At 41.5% G+C, this 16,183-nt stretch overlaps 1 protein-coding gene across 8 annotated transcripts in view, besides 1 other annotated feature; it reads left to right on the forward strand.

Moving 5' to 3' along the window:
- Window positions 1,527–2,016: an enhancer, noted in NCBI's record as "active region_24912". NCBI's record gives its function as "activates an Ori minimal core promoter by ATAC-STARR-seq in GM12878 lymphoblastoid cells {active_cell/tissue: GM12878}" and the evidence as "EXISTENCE:reporter gene assay evidence [ECO:0000049][PMID:35858748]".
- AFG1L (AFG1 like ATPase) overlaps window positions 1,675–16,183 on the forward strand; it is a 230,948-nt gene continuing 216,439 nt past the window's right edge. For all 8 annotated transcript variants that reach the window (NR_136553.2, XR_007059229.1, NM_145315.5 and 5 more), the window contains exon 1: window positions 1,675–1,839. Coding sequence is in view for 6 of the 8 variants with exons in the window: in NM_145315.5 (NP_660358.2) it covers window positions 1,701–1,839 (139 nt within the window). In the remaining 2 variants the exon portion in view is untranslated. The remainder of the gene's footprint in view (window positions 1,840–16,183) is intronic.

Here is a 16,183-nt window from a genome sequence, read left to right on the forward strand (position 1 = left end):
CTGGGCAACATAGTGAGGCCACTTCTCTTAAAAAAAAAAAAACAAAAAACAAAAAAACAAAAGTTGAGTTTTTAGAAGGCCTTTTTGATTTACCAGCCAAACTGCTCTCTCATTGATTCCACAACACTGAATTATCTTTATTTTTAAAAAAATTTATTCTAAAAGTCTTTGTATTTTGTTCCCTCCCCCTTCCCCCTTCCCCTCCCCTTCACTCCCCCTTCCCCTCCCCTTCACTCCCCCTTCCCCTCCCCTCCTCTTCTCTTTTCTTTTTTTGAGACAGAGTCTCGCTCAGCTGCCCAGGCTGGAGTGCAGTGGCACGATCTCGACTCACTGCAGCCACCCTCTCCCGGATTCAAGCGATTCTCCCTGCCTCCGCCTCCCAAGTAGCTGGGATTATAGGCACCTGCCATCATGCCGGCTAATTTTTGTATTTTAGTAGAGACAGGGTTTCACCATGTTGGCTAGGCTGGTCTTGAACTCCTGACCTCAGGTGATACGCCTGCCTCAGCCTCCTAAAGTGCTAGGATTACAGGCGTGAGCCACCGCGCCGGGCCTTCTCTTTTTTTTTTTTTTTTTGTTTTTTTTTTGTTTTTTTGAGACAGGGACTCACTCTGTCTCCCAGGCAGGAGTGCAGTGGCACAATCCCAGCTCACTACAGCCTCCACCTCCTGGACGCAACCCCCACCTCGGCCTCCCTAGTAACTAGGACTACAGGGCACAGGCCACCATGCCCAGTTTTGTATTTTTTGCAGAGACAGGATCTCGCTATGTTGCCCAGACTGGTCTCAAACTCCCGGGCTCAAGCGATTCTCCTGCCTGGGCCTCCCAGGCATGAGCCACCTAGCCCGGCCTGTATTATCTTTTCTGGAATTCATCTCGCTTACTGGATTGCCAGCCTCTTCTGGACAGCAATTTGTACTCCTAATTCGCTTATTATAGTATGTCAAAGCATTTATTGTTTAATCAAATTAGGGCAGATCAATGAGAAGTTACCCTTCGGATACACTGTCCCATGACTTCTCCGTCCACCGACAGTCCTTCTTAGGCCCTTGGCTTTCCCATGCCACTTATACAATCTTTCAAAACATTTGAGTGCGTACCATTTATATTATTCAAATACGAAAAGGGAAAGCGGTAGGCGCACATTTCAGGTACTCGTCAAAGATGAGTTGGACGCTGGAGATAAAATAAAAAATGGGCCTACCATTTAGGGAGGTGTGACGAAGTGACACCACTCTTCCGTTAAAACCCGAGGGCCCATTGGGTCACCTCCATTTTATTCAGGTTTCGGAATCTCGGTCATGTGAGCTAACTTAAAAGGCTCAAGAGTGGTTACCTGCCTACCCGTCATAATCACTTCCCAATTCCTTGAAAACTTCGGGTTCCTCGGCCGGCCGCCAGCGCCGGGCGGAGAATCGCCCTCCCTCCCACTGCCCAGACTGGAGCTGCCTGTTCCGTTCCACCCCGCCCCACCCCACTGCATGCTGGGAGTCGTAGTCCCGGCTGGCAGCGTCCGGAAGGACGGGAGGGCACGGGAGTGCAGCCCGCCCATGTGGCTACTGGAGGTCACGTTCCCTAACTGATCCCTTGGTTCTCTCGGGTGGAGCCTTCAGCGTGCACGGCGGGGTTTGACTTTGCCACCGTCTCTCTTCTGGGTTCCAATAAAGTTTTCCTCTTCCTCTCCTCGTACGGAGTTCAAGATGGCGGCCTCCTGGTCGCTCTTGGTTACCCTGCGCCCCTTAGCACAGAGCCCGCTGAGAGGGAGATGTGTTGGGTGCGGGGCCTGGGCCGCCGCTCTCGCTCCTCTGGCCACCGCCCCTGGGAAGCCCTTTTGGAAAGGTCAGTGACTGTGCCATGAGTAGTCCGAGCCGACTGCATATGACTGGAGAAGCCTCTGGGATTACCCTCCCTGTCCGATCTACCCCAGGTGTCTCCTGCTTTCACGAAGCTGAGGGCTCCTCGAGAGGAGTTTCCATTTCTCTTGACCTTTTATACTGTCTGTGAATGAGCCCTGAGCACTGAGGGAAATGACCCTGAGTGACTTTCATTTTGAGGGTCAGAGGTTGACTCAGAGTTTGTTCCTTCCGGGACGTTTAGAGAGCTGAACCTAGTGGGAGTGCCTGGCTTGAAGAGATGCAGGTGTGGGGTTGGGGCCTGGGGACCCCTACCCTCTGCGTTTTCCAAGCTCTCGGGGCTGGTGACTGACGGGCACTGGAGGAAGAGCCGCGCCTGGGACCTCTGCAGGCCCTGATGTCTCTCGTGATTCTAGGAAGGAAGGTCCACACACATTCTCAGATTGAGGGATCGATTCTTGGTGTTCTTTTCAAGTCACTAGGGGCTTCAGTGGAATTATTTTGTCACCGGGCTTTCTTTCTCCCTGGCTTCCTTCATTCAGTTATATGTTCATGAATGAATGAATGAATGTATATTCTGAGTAACCAAGAGTGCCAGTTTTACTGCTCTATTCATGTATTCGCACTAAACTGCACGATTTTCAAAGGCAAGGACATTGTGTCATTGTTTCCTAAGCACTTAGCGCAATGATTGGTACTTGACGTGCAAATATGATTTTTGAGTGAATGAATGAATGAAATTATTCTCCTTGTCTCCCTCATCCACATACTCGTTTTCCTTTTTCTCAAATCCAAGCAACCCCTGTAATATACCTTAATAGATTGATAGACCTTAATAAGGTATATACCTTAATAGATTATTTATTAATTTAGCTAAAAATATGACAATCTTTGACCCTTATCATCAATGCAGTTGAAATTAATACTAGAACTTTGATTAGGTCACCTTACGTCTTTCTGCAAAGATTAGCATAATGCATTTAGTATAATGGAATAGGCTCCACACACTGCCTGGGGGTAGCCCTGATCTGCTGGAGTAGTCGTTAAAAGTAAATAAATAAATAAAGATATAATGGAATATTCTGGTAGTGTAAGCTGTGGATTATAATATAAATTTTATTTTTCATTTTTGGTAGTCAATAAAAGCAAATGCTATAAATTTCAACAGGTGCAAGAAAGAATATGGCAAAATGTAAGGCTTTTTTCTATCCCTATCCCTTAGCTGCTTAGTTTTTCTCCTCAGAGGCAATCTGTGATACTAGTTTCTTATGTATTCTTCCAGATATATTCTGTGTATGTATAAGCATATACATATATAGATAATGGTATTAAAAAAATAGAAGTAGTAACATGCTGTACACATTGTTTTGTGTATACAGCAGTTAATTCTGTTAATTGTTAATTTCTTTTTAAATTTAGTAGCTTGGAGATCATTCCATATCAATACCATATCAATTTCATATGAATAGAACTGCCTCGTGTTTTAAGTTTTAAAAATAGTATTCCATTCTATGTATATACCATGATTTATGAACATTAAAGATTTAAGGAGCATCATTATAACATATAAAATTCACTGAATGCTTATTCTGTGTCATACAATATACTAAGTACTTTCTACATACATTATCTTATTATTCCTCATTATCCTCATTTTGGAGATCATGAATCCAAGGTTGCTGAAGTTATATGGCTAGTAAGTGTCAGAACTGGATTCAAGTGAAGGCTGTGCTATTAATCTATACTCACACTTTCTCCAATACACAAAATTTAGCCAATTCTGGGTGTGAAGATTTGATGAAAATGCAGTTAGGTTAGAGGTCCATTTAATTGTATCTAAGGACGCTCCCTTCCCCTCTTTATTTTTATTTTGTTTATTTATTTATTTTTTTGAGATAGAGCCTTGCTCTGTCTCCCAGACTGGAGTGCAATGGTACAATCTCGGCTCACTGCAACCTCCACCTCCTGGATTCAAGCAATTCTCCCTGCCTCAGCCTCCCTAGTAGCTGAGATCACAGGCACCCACCACCACGCCTGGCTAGTTTTTGTATTTTTAGTAGAGATGGGGTTTCACCATGTTGGGCAGGCTGGTCTCAAACTCCTGACCTCAGGTGATCCGGAGCCTCGGCCCCCCAAAATGCTGGGATTACAGGCGTGAGCCATGGTGCCCTGCCCCCATCTTTAAATAAAAGGAAAATTTTAGTTGAAATTTTGTTCAGTATTCAGAGTCTGATTTACAAATCGATTTTCTATCCCTTTCCTGTTTTTTTGGGGGGGTACATTTCTATTTTACCTTCATTTTTCATCTTTTGAAGTCTACTATTTAGTACAGTGTAATGTGGCTGGGTGTGGTGGCTCACACCTGTAATCCTGGCACTTTGGAAGCCTGAGGGAGTAGGATCACTTGAGCTCAGGAGTTTGAGACCAGCCTGGGCAACATGGCAAAACCCCCTCTCTATAAAAAATACAAAACTTAGCCGGGTGTGGTGGTGCACGCCTGTAGTCCCAGCTACTTGGGAGGCTGAGGTGGGAGGATCACTTGAGCCCAGGAAGTCGAGGCTGCAGTGAGCTGAGAGAGATGGCGTCACTGCACTGCAGGCTGGGTGACAGAGTGAGAACCTGTCTCAAAAAAAAAAAAAAAAAAAAAGGAAAAGTGAATGAACCTGAGTTCTAGCCCTTGAATAGCCCATAGTCTTGAGAGGCATATGGAATTATGGTAGCCAGCATTTGATGAGCCCCTTCTGTGTTCTAGGCACTTTGCTTGCAGTTTCTGTTTCATAATTTAATCTTCATAAAACTCTATAAAAATTATTGTCTTTATTTTATAGATGAATAAACAAGGATGGTCACCCAACTTGGATTTTAAACCCAGGTGTTTTTGCTTCAGAGTCACAAACTTAACTGCTATTTGTACTAGCTTTTTAATGTAACAGTGAACATTAATAACATATTGTACCATGATCTAAGCCTGTTTGAAGTGTTATAAGACTGCAGAGGAGGAAGCAGCTCTGCTTGGAGAGGGGAAGAATTTTTTTTTTTTTTTTTTTTTTTGAGACAGAGTCTCGCTCTGTCACCCAGGCTGTAGTGCAATGGTGTGATCTCTGCTCATTGCAACCTCTGCCTCCTGGGTTCAAGCGATTTTCCTGCCTCAGCCTCCTGAGTAGCTGGAATTACAGGCGCCCGCCACCACACCCAACTAATTTTCGTATTTTTAGTAGAGAGGGGGTTTCAACATGTTGGTCAGGCTGGTCTTGAACTCCTGACCTCAGGTGATCCACCCATCTTGGCCTCCCAAAGTGTTGGTATTACAGGTGTGAGCCACTGTGGCTGGCCAGATTTTTTATTTTTAGCAAAAGTGTGGATGTGAGCTGTACATGGCCCTTATTGGTTTATGGTCTCTGAGAGAGCAGTTAGAGATGAAGCTGTAAAGGTGGGCTGATGTGGTTGAGAAGAGTCTCTTACAGTATGTTAAGATGTCTAAGCTCAGTGGGACACTAGTGGAAGTTTCTCAGGAATAGAAGTGATCAGATCTATTTTAGCATGATTTCTCTTGTGGCCACCTGAAAAACAAACCAGAAATGCCTGGATGGGAGAATACTGGAAGCTGGGTGATTATTTAGGAGGAAGCTGAAGTAGATAGAGTGTTAGGGAGTGGTTTAGGGGCTGAATTACTGCTGTGGTGAAGGAGAGCAGGGCAGCTGAGGGAGGGAATTCAGAGACACTTCTTTGATAGAATTAACATACTTGGCCAGGCACAGTGGCTCATGCCTGTAATCCCAGCACTTTGGGAGGCTGAGGCTGGCGGATCACCTGAGGTCAGGAGTTTGAGACCAGCCTGGCCAACATGGTGAAACCTCGTCTCTACTAAAAATACAAAAATTAGCTGGGCGTGGTGGTGCATGCCTGTAATCCCAGCTACTTGGGAGGCTGAGGCAGGAGAATCGCTTGAACCCAGGCGGCGGAGGTTGCAGTGAGCCAAGATCACACCACTGCGCTCCAGCCTGGGGGACAGAGCAAGACTCCATCTCAAAAAAGAAAAAAAAAAAAAATAAATTAACATACTTGGACATACTTGGAAGAGACAAGGAAAGGGAGGAGTGAAGGTAAATTTAGGTTTCCTATTGCAGGTGAAATAATGACATAATAAGTAAAAAGTAAAACAATAAAAAAGCAATTGAGGTTTCTGAGTTTGGGCAATGTAATCAAAAGAAACAAAACAAAAATGAAACTAAATGATAGGGCCAAAGGATTTTAGAGGGATATTCAATATGGGGCTTGTTAAATTTGAGGCATTTATTATAGTTCCAGGTAAATAAGTCTAGTTAGTTGTAGGACACTTGGGGATCTGAGACTAAGAAAGAAAATATGAGGTATTGGGAGCCATGAGAATAGAAGAATGAGCCTGGGAATATATGTGTAGGGTGAAAAGAGCCTGTGGCTTGTGCCTGAAATCCCAGCTACTCATGAGGCCAAAGCAGGAGGATTGCTTGCGGCCAGGAGTTTGAGACAAGCCTGGGCAGCATAATGAGACCCTGTCTCTAAAAATAGAAGAGAAAAGAAAAGAAAAAGCAAAAGCTGAGGGCTAGTGCTTGAGGAAACTTGACATTTTGTGAGCAGAAGAAGGGGGCCTCATAGAGTGGTCTTAGGAGACTAGGAGAGAAGCCAGGGAGGGAAATGTTTATAGGTTTTCTAAAACCTAAAAATTAGCATATCTGAAATTCCATTTTCTTTAAGCTAGCCTTAGAAATTAAATGTATTTCATAGAAGCAAGGTAATATGAGGATCACATCTTATGATTTCTTTTTATTATGCTGACAATATAACAATATTATATTTTTAGGTGCCTCTATTAAATGATGATTCATATTTAACTCCACAATCTCTTTAGTATACATACATAGGAGTTTATTCCCTATTAGGGTTTTTTTTTTTTGAGGTGGAGTTTTGCTCTTGTCGCCCAGGCTGGAATGCAATGGTGCAATCTTGGCTCACTGCAACCTCTGCCTCCTGGGTTCAAGCGATTCTCCTGTCTCAGCTTCCTAAGTAGCTGAGACTACAGGCATGTGCCACCACTGCCCAGCTAATTTTTTTGTATTTTTAGTAGAGACAGGGTTTCGCCATGTTGGCCAGGCTAGTCTGGAACTCCTGACCTCAGGTGATCTGCCCAACTTGGACCCCCAAAGTGCAGGGATTACAGGTGTGAGCCACCAGACCCATCCCCTGATTAGGTATTAATGTGAGTAGAACTAACCCTCCTATATATGAATTGGTATAGTTTATTTTTTATTTATTTGTTTATTTATACATATTTTGTTTCTCTTTTACATGTTACTTGCCAAGGTACAATTTATTAGTAGTACATATTACTAGTTAAGAAAATATTTGTCTTTGGACTTACTGTCTGTTTCCCTTAATACTCACTGGTTATAGCGTTTGAACTTACTTTTTTTTTTTTTTTGAGACTGAATATCACTCTGTCATCCAGGCTGGAGTGCAGTGGAGCGATGTCGGCTCACTGCAACCTCCGTCTCACAGGTTCAAGCGATTCTCCTGCCTCAGCCTCCTGAGCAGCTGGGACTACAGGCGCACGCCATCACGCCTGGCTAATTTTTTGTATTTTTAGTAGAGATGGGGTTTCACCATATTAGCCAGGATGGTCTCGATCTCCTGACCTTGTGATCCGCCCGACTTGACCTCCCAAAATGCTGGAATTATAGGCGTGAGCCACCACGCCCGGCCTGAACTTACTTTTAATTATCCAATTAGATGAATATCTTTATGTGAACTTATTTCATGTTTCTTGGATTTTTGTTAATATTTATTATATTAGAAAAGAATGTCATGCCTATCCCTGAGACTGATTATCTTTATGATAATGGAGGATTTTGTGGTGCTGGTGGGAGTATAGCAGTAAGGCCAACCAGGGGTCACTCTCATCGCCATCTTGGTTTTGCCTGGCTTCTTTACTGCAAGTTGTTTTATCAGCAAGGTCTTTATGACTTGTATCTTGTGCCAACCTCCTATCTCATCCTGTGACTAATAATGCCATAGCCTCCTGGGAATGCAGCCCACCAAGTCTCAGACTTATTTTACCCAGCCCTTATTTAAAATGGAGTTGCTCGAGTTCAAATGCCTCTGACATTTCCCCCCACTCCCTTTTACAAGGGAACCCTTAATAAGTGTTGAAGAGAAACAAAGATCTATCTTCTGCAACTTCTTCAGGCTGAATAGGGGCAATGCTATTCCTGCCTAACTATTAGGGTCTCTTGTATTCAGGGTAGAGAGGAGCTCAGTCAGAAAGCGTTGGTATGGCAAGGGCCATTCATAACTCTTGAGTTCTGACAAAAGGTGATATCTAGAAGATTAATAACTGTTCAGTTTAAAAGAACATTGAGTAAGCTTATCCTGCATTCCTTCATGAAGAGTACAATAGCAATATATTCCACAACAGTAAGGTAAAATAAATAAAATTATCCCAAGTAAATGAACTTAGAAGGCTTTCCATGAACGGGGCAACTGTTGGAACCACGCTGATGTGGGGTTGCTAGGTGATTCCAATATGTGCCCAGGATTAGAATATTGATCCAGATTTTTACATTACCCATCCCTCTTGTTTCTTCTGAGTAGCAACCAGAGATCACTGATTGATTTACAAGAATAAGCAGAGCCAGTCTAAATTGCAGAAAAACCTTAAAAACAACAGATGAGACTAGATTTTTTTTTTTTTTTTTGAGACAGAATCTCGTTCTGTTGCCCAGGCTGGAGTGCAATTGGCATGATTTCAGCTAACTGCAACCTCCGTCTCCTGGGTTCAAGTGACTCTCCTGCCTCAGCCTCCTGAGTAGCTGGGATTTCAGGTGTCCACCACCATGCCCTGCTAATTTTTGTATTTTTAGTAGAGGCGGGGTTTCACCATGTTGGCCAGGCTGGTCTTGAACTCTTGCAGGTGATCTGCCCGCCTTGGCCTCCCAAAGTACTGGGATTACAGGCGTGAGCCATCGCTCCCAGCCCGAGACTAGAATTTAATAACAGGTATACCACAGTTCTTGAAACATAATTTTTCTCTCCGGTCTCCCATTTTTACTAAAGACAAATCATGGTAAGACTGATTTGCTTTGTTATACTTGGCCTGACATTTGTATAAAGTGCAGGAAAAATAATTATTTTTCACATAGGCTTTTAAAATTGACTTTGATGGAACTCTGTTCCATAGAAGGAATCTCAGATAAGACTTTTTTTTTTTAAAGCCGAGCCCAGCCATGGGTTTGTACCCTCAAATACCTATGAGTTGAGTAAATACCTCTTCTCTTGAGGTTCCGAGATAACTTGGGGCTCCTGGGCCTGTACTTTACTTATTTACTTACTACAGGTCAGGAACCCTGGGCACGGACTGTGTAGACAAGATACGAGGCCAGTTTCCAAAGGAGCTTTTATTGGCGCTATAAGTCAAGTTTGATTCCTTAAAGGAAAGCACACCACTCCAGTCAAAACCTTGGTAAAATAACCAGTTTCTCCAATTGTGCCCTGTTACAAATGAAAACAGATTTTTATTGCACTTATGCAAATAACTATTGCCGTAAGTTAAGATACTCACTAATAATTTTCAAGTTCTGGAGAAATCAGGTAGAGAGAAACAATTATGCTCCAAATTTTGTTTATAGGAGTATACTTTGCTTAATTGTTAAAAGCTGTCAATAGCTCAAAAAAAAAAAAGTTTCCTTGACTCTGGAAATCGGAGTTTCGCTCTGTCACCCACTGCAACCTCCGCCTCCCAGGTTCATGCGATTCTTGTGTTTCAGCCTCCGGAGTAGCTGGGATTACAGGTGTGAGCTGCCACACCTGGCTAATTTTTGTATTTTTAGTAGAGATGGGTTTTGCCACGTTGGCCAGGCTGGTCTTGAACTCCTAATCTCAAGTGATCTGTCTGTCTCAGCCTTCCAAAATGTTGGGATTACAGGCATGAGCCACCATGCCTGGCCTTTTTATTTTTTTAAATTAGAGACACAGTCTCACTATATTGCTTTCCCTGGTCTGGAACTCCTGGGCTCAAGCTATCCTCCTGCCTTGGCCTCCCGAAGTGTTAGGATTACAGGCGTGAGCCAACATGCCCAGCCTGGTCTCTAATTTGAGCTCAAGTGATCCTCCAACCCCAGTCTCCAGTAGTAGACTTCAGGTGTGTTAGCTCTATCTTCTCTCCTAAAAGCGTTATGGATGCTAGCTCTTCCTGGTGTCTTTTGCCTCTCTTGCCCAAGTTCTCTGTTGAGGACCATTTCTACTCCTTGCCTGGAGATACCTGATACTTCAATTTCCAGAATCTCTTTCATAACCTCTTTTTACCATCCTGCTTATCTTTCTTATTTCTTCTCTTCATTGCTCCCATCCCAGAAGCTACTCTATGAACATGTTATCTATCCATACTCTTGACCAGGTGGCAGTTTTCAACAAGTTTTTAAGCCTGAGCATGTAATTCTTTATAGTCGTTCCTCCATTTCTTCATAATATCATTTAAATGCAACTCCTGTAGATTCCATTTTGAAATTCTCATTTATATATGTGTGTGTATAAAATTTAAACTAACATAACAAATGAATGGGTTTAAAAATCTTTTGAAAAAAATTAGATCCCTTAGATGTCTTTATTAAATAGTATGTGAACAGGGTGAATATTAAGGAGTTACTCAGTATGCTGGGCCATGCCTGTAATTACTTCAGAATAGCTTTATTCAGATCTTTAGGCATTATTTCACTGATTTGTTATCATGAAATTTAAAGTACAATTTTTTTTCCTTTTGTAAAGTTATACACATTGGCACATTTAAGATTAACTAGCTTCTGAAGGAAAAGAATGGTAACCACCAAGCATTTAGTTTTAATTTTCATAATTTTTCTATTTAAATCAAAAGCACCCTTTTAAAGCCCCTAACTAAGCCTTTTATAAATAAAGTAAATCATCTTGCAGTGCATTCCTTGATGATGGCTTATGTTGTTTTTCTAAAGAAAGTTTAATTAAGATTTGATTTTCTTCTATTCTGTACTTTGTTTATTCATCACAGAATGAAACATAGGTCTTTAATGTCAATGGTAAGTCTGACTTTTTGGGTCATTGATGACCATTGCAGTTTTCAAAAAAGCAGCTGAATATTTATCTTTTGGGTATGATTAGAACATAATAGAGCATAAAATGGGCTGCCTATGACCTTAGCATGGGCTTCTGTCATTGCAGGAGAACATTTCTGGTCAGTGGCCACTGTTTATGGTTTGTTAAAATCAGCACAAATGTACAAATAACTCATGAATAATTGTGAACACAGTATTTAAATGGATGTTTAATAAATATGCATTAAAAATCTCATTACAGTAATGAAGTTTACAGCTGAAATTTTAATCCAGCCCTTTAGAAATATTAAAGTGCTTTTACTGATTGTGCATTTTTCTCACAGCAGTTGGGTAAACATTTTAAACTGGAAATCTGAATTCCTTATATAGTTTTGATTTCATTTAACTAAGCATGTGTTCTTTTTGGCAACCCTCTTCTTTCTCTTTGTGAAGAAGTGAAGCTCCTTTATTCCATAACTGTTACTTTGAAGCATTTTGATCAGTTCTGTTTTAGGAATGGTGAACATATGGGATACCAGACGACTAATAAAAACTGATCTGGAAAAGACTAGATTGTGATTTTGGTTTCATTCTGCAGTGCTGGATCAATCATTTGATTTGGTATTTCCATTTGTCATCTATAGAATGCGATGCATTTTCCTAACTCTACCTTCCTTGCAGGTAATTTATGAGACTCAAATAGGTTATTATGTGAGAAAGTCTTTTGAAAACTGTAAGAAATGTTACATAAATGTATGTAATTGAAATATTAACAATGACATGCCAGAGGTGGTGGATTCTAGTCAGTGAGTAGAAATGGAATGTACTCAACTTTATACAGAATTTCTAGAGCCATTTTAATTCTGGAGAGGCTCATTATATTAACAATGGCCAAGGGCCTAGTCTGAATTCAGTGCTTTGAATTCCAGAAAATGCAGTTTTGATTTTTCTGAGATTGTGCAAAGGGCCTCTGTAGATAACCAGGTGTGGTTTTTGTTCTCCTGGACTTCACTACCTTTCCTCTGGATACTCTGAACACCTAGAGGTTCTTAGAAATTATGAATTACCTCTTTTTTGAGACAGAGTCTTGCTCTATTACTCAGGCTGGAGTGCAGTGGTATGATCACGGCTCACTGCAGCCTCAACCTTCTGGGCTCATGTGAGCCTCCTGACAGCCTCTCGAGTAGCTGGGACCACAGGCACAAGCCCCACCAGTACGCCCGGCTAATGTTTGTATTTTTTTTTCGTGAACCTCTAAGTCTACTTTATAATTTTTTTAGTGGGAGGTAGAGACAGGGTTTCAGCATATTGCCCAGGCTGGTCTTGAACTTCTGGGCTCAAGCAGTGCGCCCGCCTCAGCCTCCCAAATTGCTGGGATTACAGTCGTGAGCTACCACACCAGGCTATGAATTACTTCTTTTGCCATTATGTTTCAAAGAAAGCTGTTGAAATTTGATTTATACTGTGCAGGTAAACTATCTTCATTTAGTAGGAAATGGATGCTGGTTTCAAAAGGAACTGGAGTGATTGTGAATTATTTGCTGTACAGTGAGATCTAAAGATAGCTTTTTGTTTGTTTGTTTGTTTTGTTCTGTTTTGAGAGTTGTGCTCTGTTGCCCAGGTTGGAATGCAGTGGTGCGATCTTGGCTTACTGCATCCTCTACCTCCCGGGTTCAAGTGATTCTCCTGCCTCAGCCTCTTGAGTAGCTGGGACTACAGGTGCCTGTCACCACGCCTGGCTAATTTTTGTATTTTTAGTAGAGATGGGGTTTTGCCATATTGGCCAGGCTAGCCTTGAACTCCTGACTTCAGGTTATGCACCCATCTCATCCTCCCAAAGTGCTAGGATTACAGATGTGAGCCACTGTGCCCAGCCTCAAGATGGCATTTCACAGAAGCATAGAGTATTAGTGCTGCAGAGGGCCTCTGGGCCATATAGTCAAACAATGTTAGACATGTAGCTTCTGCCTTAACTGCTTCTTTTTGAGGCTTCCTATTGATTTTTGGATAGCCTTAATTTTGAAAAAACTCTAAAGTGGGATGAAATTTGAGCATTTATGTAACTTCTCCCCATTCATCTTGAATCTTTCCTCAGGTGCGGTATAAAACACTAATACTGATTCCATGTGTGACCGCTCTTTTAACATATCAAGACTGATAATATTTCATTCATTTATTTATTCATTTACTCATTCATTTTTCAAAGTATTGGGTGCCACCTTGTCCCAATTCCATTTAATCACCTTTAAACATTAAAGGCTTATTATATTTCTCCCATTCATTCATTCATTTTCCAAGCACTTCTTGTTGCCACCCATATGCTACATGCAGGATGCTGGGATGTATGCTAAATGTCTTGTTAATGTCAGCAGTCTTTTGTGCTGTCGGTCAAGTCTCACAACATAGTTTCTAGATCCTTGAACTCCTTCCCTTCTTGAGATTACTGTCTACTTTCTGAATGACACTCTGAAAATGTGGCCCCCATATCACAATATATTCCTTCAAGTATGGTCAGCCTAGAGCCTTGTTTAGGTTACCTTTTCTGTGTCCTGTGGCATTAACTTTTGGTGGTCAGGTCACATTCATATCTCACTTGCGACTCTTAGAGTTATTAAAACAGGTCTCTCCTGTTTGTATTTGATTTATTATTTTTTCTGTTTAAACATAAATTACTTTTTTTTTCTTTCTTTTTTTTTGAGTTTTTGAGATGGAGTCTTGCTCTGTCACCCAGGCTGGAGTGCAATGGCATGATCTCAGCTCACTGCCATCTCCGTTTCCTGGGTTCAAGAGATTCTCCTGCCTCAGTCTCCTGAGTAGCTGGGATTACAGGCGCATGCTACCATGCCTGGCTAATTTTTGCATTTTTAGTAGAGACAGGGTTTCACAATGTTGGCCAGGCTGGTCTAGAACTCCTGACGTCGTGATTTGCCCAACTTGGCCCCCCAAAGTGCTAGGATTACGGGCGTGAGCCACCGCATACGGCCTAAAAATAAGTTACTTTTAATTATAAAAATACTACATCATGTTTACAGTAGAAAATATAGAAAAGACAACTGCTGTTAACTTTAATTTTTCTTTCATCTTATTTTTTTTTTTTTTTGGAAACAGGGTTTTGCCCAGTCGCCCAGGCTGGAGTACAGTGGTGTGATCACAGCTCACTGCCGCCTAAACCTCCCAGGTCCAAGTAATCCTCCCAGCTCAGTCTCCTGAGTAACTGAGACTACAGGCGAGCACCACCACGCCTGGCTAATTTTTGTATTTTTGTAGAGATGGGGTCTCGCCATATTGCCCAGGCCTATATAGTACTGCTATGAATATGTTTGTACATATATTTGGTGCATATATGTATGCTTTCTGTTGGGCAGATACCAAATAATAGAATTGCTGGCTCATATTTTATACATATGTTCAGCTTTAGTAGACAAGGCCAGTTTTCTAAAATGGTTATATCAGTGTATCTTTCCATTAGCAGTGTGTGAGATTTCAGTTACTATGCATCCTCACTAACAGCTGGTATTCTTTTTAATTTTAGTCACTCTAATAAGTGTGTACTGATATCTCATTATGATTTTATTTTGCTTTTCCCTGATACATTTTAAGGTTGAATACTTTTTTATATATTTACTGGACATTTGGATAGGCTCTTTTGTGACATGCACATTGTCTGTTTCTTAATGAGTTGTAGTTCTTTATATAATCTTGATGTAAGTCCTTTGTCAGATACATAGATTGCAAGTATTTTCTCCCAGTCTGTAGCTTGCTTTTTAATTTTATTTTTTCATTTATCTCTTATCTTATAAGTGGTATAAGGCTAGCTTTTTCATTAAAAACATTTTTTTTGAGACTAGATCTCTCTGTGTCATCAAGGCTGGAGTGCAGTGGTACAATCATGGTTCACTGCAGCCTGGACCTCCTGGGCTCAAGCAGTCCTCTCACCTCAGTCTCCCGAGTAGCTGGGACGACAGGCATGCGCCACCACACCCAGCTAATTGTTAAAATTTTTTATAGAGACAGCATCTCTCTATGTTGCCCAGGTTGTTCTCAGACTCCTGGCCTCAAGCTATCCTCCCACCTTGGCCCCTCAAAGTGTTGGGATTACCAGCATGAGCCACTGTGTCCAATTTAGCTTTTTCATTGCTAATGGAGTCTTTTCATGAACAGAAGCTCCAAATTTTATTTTACTTATTTAATTTTAATTTTTTTAGAGATGGGGTTTTGCTCTGTTGCCCAGGCCAGAGTGCAGTGATGCAAACATAGCTCACTGCAGCCTCAAACTCCTGGGTCCAAGCGATCCTCCTATTTTAGCTTTCCAAGTAGCTAGGACTCTAGGGTTGTGCCCAGATGAAGAAGTTCTAAATTTTATTTATTTTATTATTTATTTATTTATTTATTTTGAGACAGAGTCTCACTCTGTCATCCAGGCTGGAGTACAGTGGCACAATCTTGGCTCACTGCAGCCTCTCCACCTCCCAGGTTCAAGTGATTCTTCTGACTCAGCTTCCTGAGTAGCTGGGACTACAGGCGTGTGCCACCACGCCCAGCTGCTTTTTTGTATTTTTAGTAGAGATGGGGTTTCACCATGTTGGCCCCGCTAGTCTTGAACTCCTAACCTCAGGTGATCTGCCCACCTCAGCCTCCCAAAGTGCTGTGATTACAGGTGTGAGCCACTGCGCCTGGCCAAGAAGTTCTAAATTTTAATGTAGTCCAATTTAGCAATCTTTTTGTGTGTGTCCTATTTATGAAATCTTTGCTTACCTCAAGGTCACGAAGGTATTTTCATATGTTCTTTTAGAAGCTTTATTGTTTTACCTTTCATGTTTAGATCTATGATACCTCTGGAATTAAGTTTTGTGTATGACATTAGGTTAGGATCAAGATTTATGTTTCTTTGTATGGATATCCAGTTGATCCAGCAACATTTTTTATATAGAGCATCTTTTTTTTCTGGGCTACTGCAGTGCTGCTTTTGACATAAATCAAGTGACCGTGTATGTGTGGGCTTCTATTTTGTTCCATTGGTCTATTCTTGTACCAGTATCATACTGTCCTAACTCTGTAGCTTTATAATAAGTTTTAATATCTGGTTGTGTAAGTCCTCCAACTTTGTTCTTTTTCAAGATTGACCAGACCTGAGCTTTGATACCATCGCCATTAGCCACATGTGGACACTGAGCACTTGAAATGTGTAATATGACTGGGGAACTAAATTTTTAATTTCATTTAATTTTAGTTAAA

The sequence above is a fragment of the Homo sapiens genome, chromosome 6, assembly GCF_000001405.40.
Source record: "Homo sapiens chromosome 6, GRCh38.p14 Primary Assembly".
NCBI lineage: Eukaryota > Metazoa > Chordata > Mammalia > Primates > Hominidae > Homo > Homo sapiens.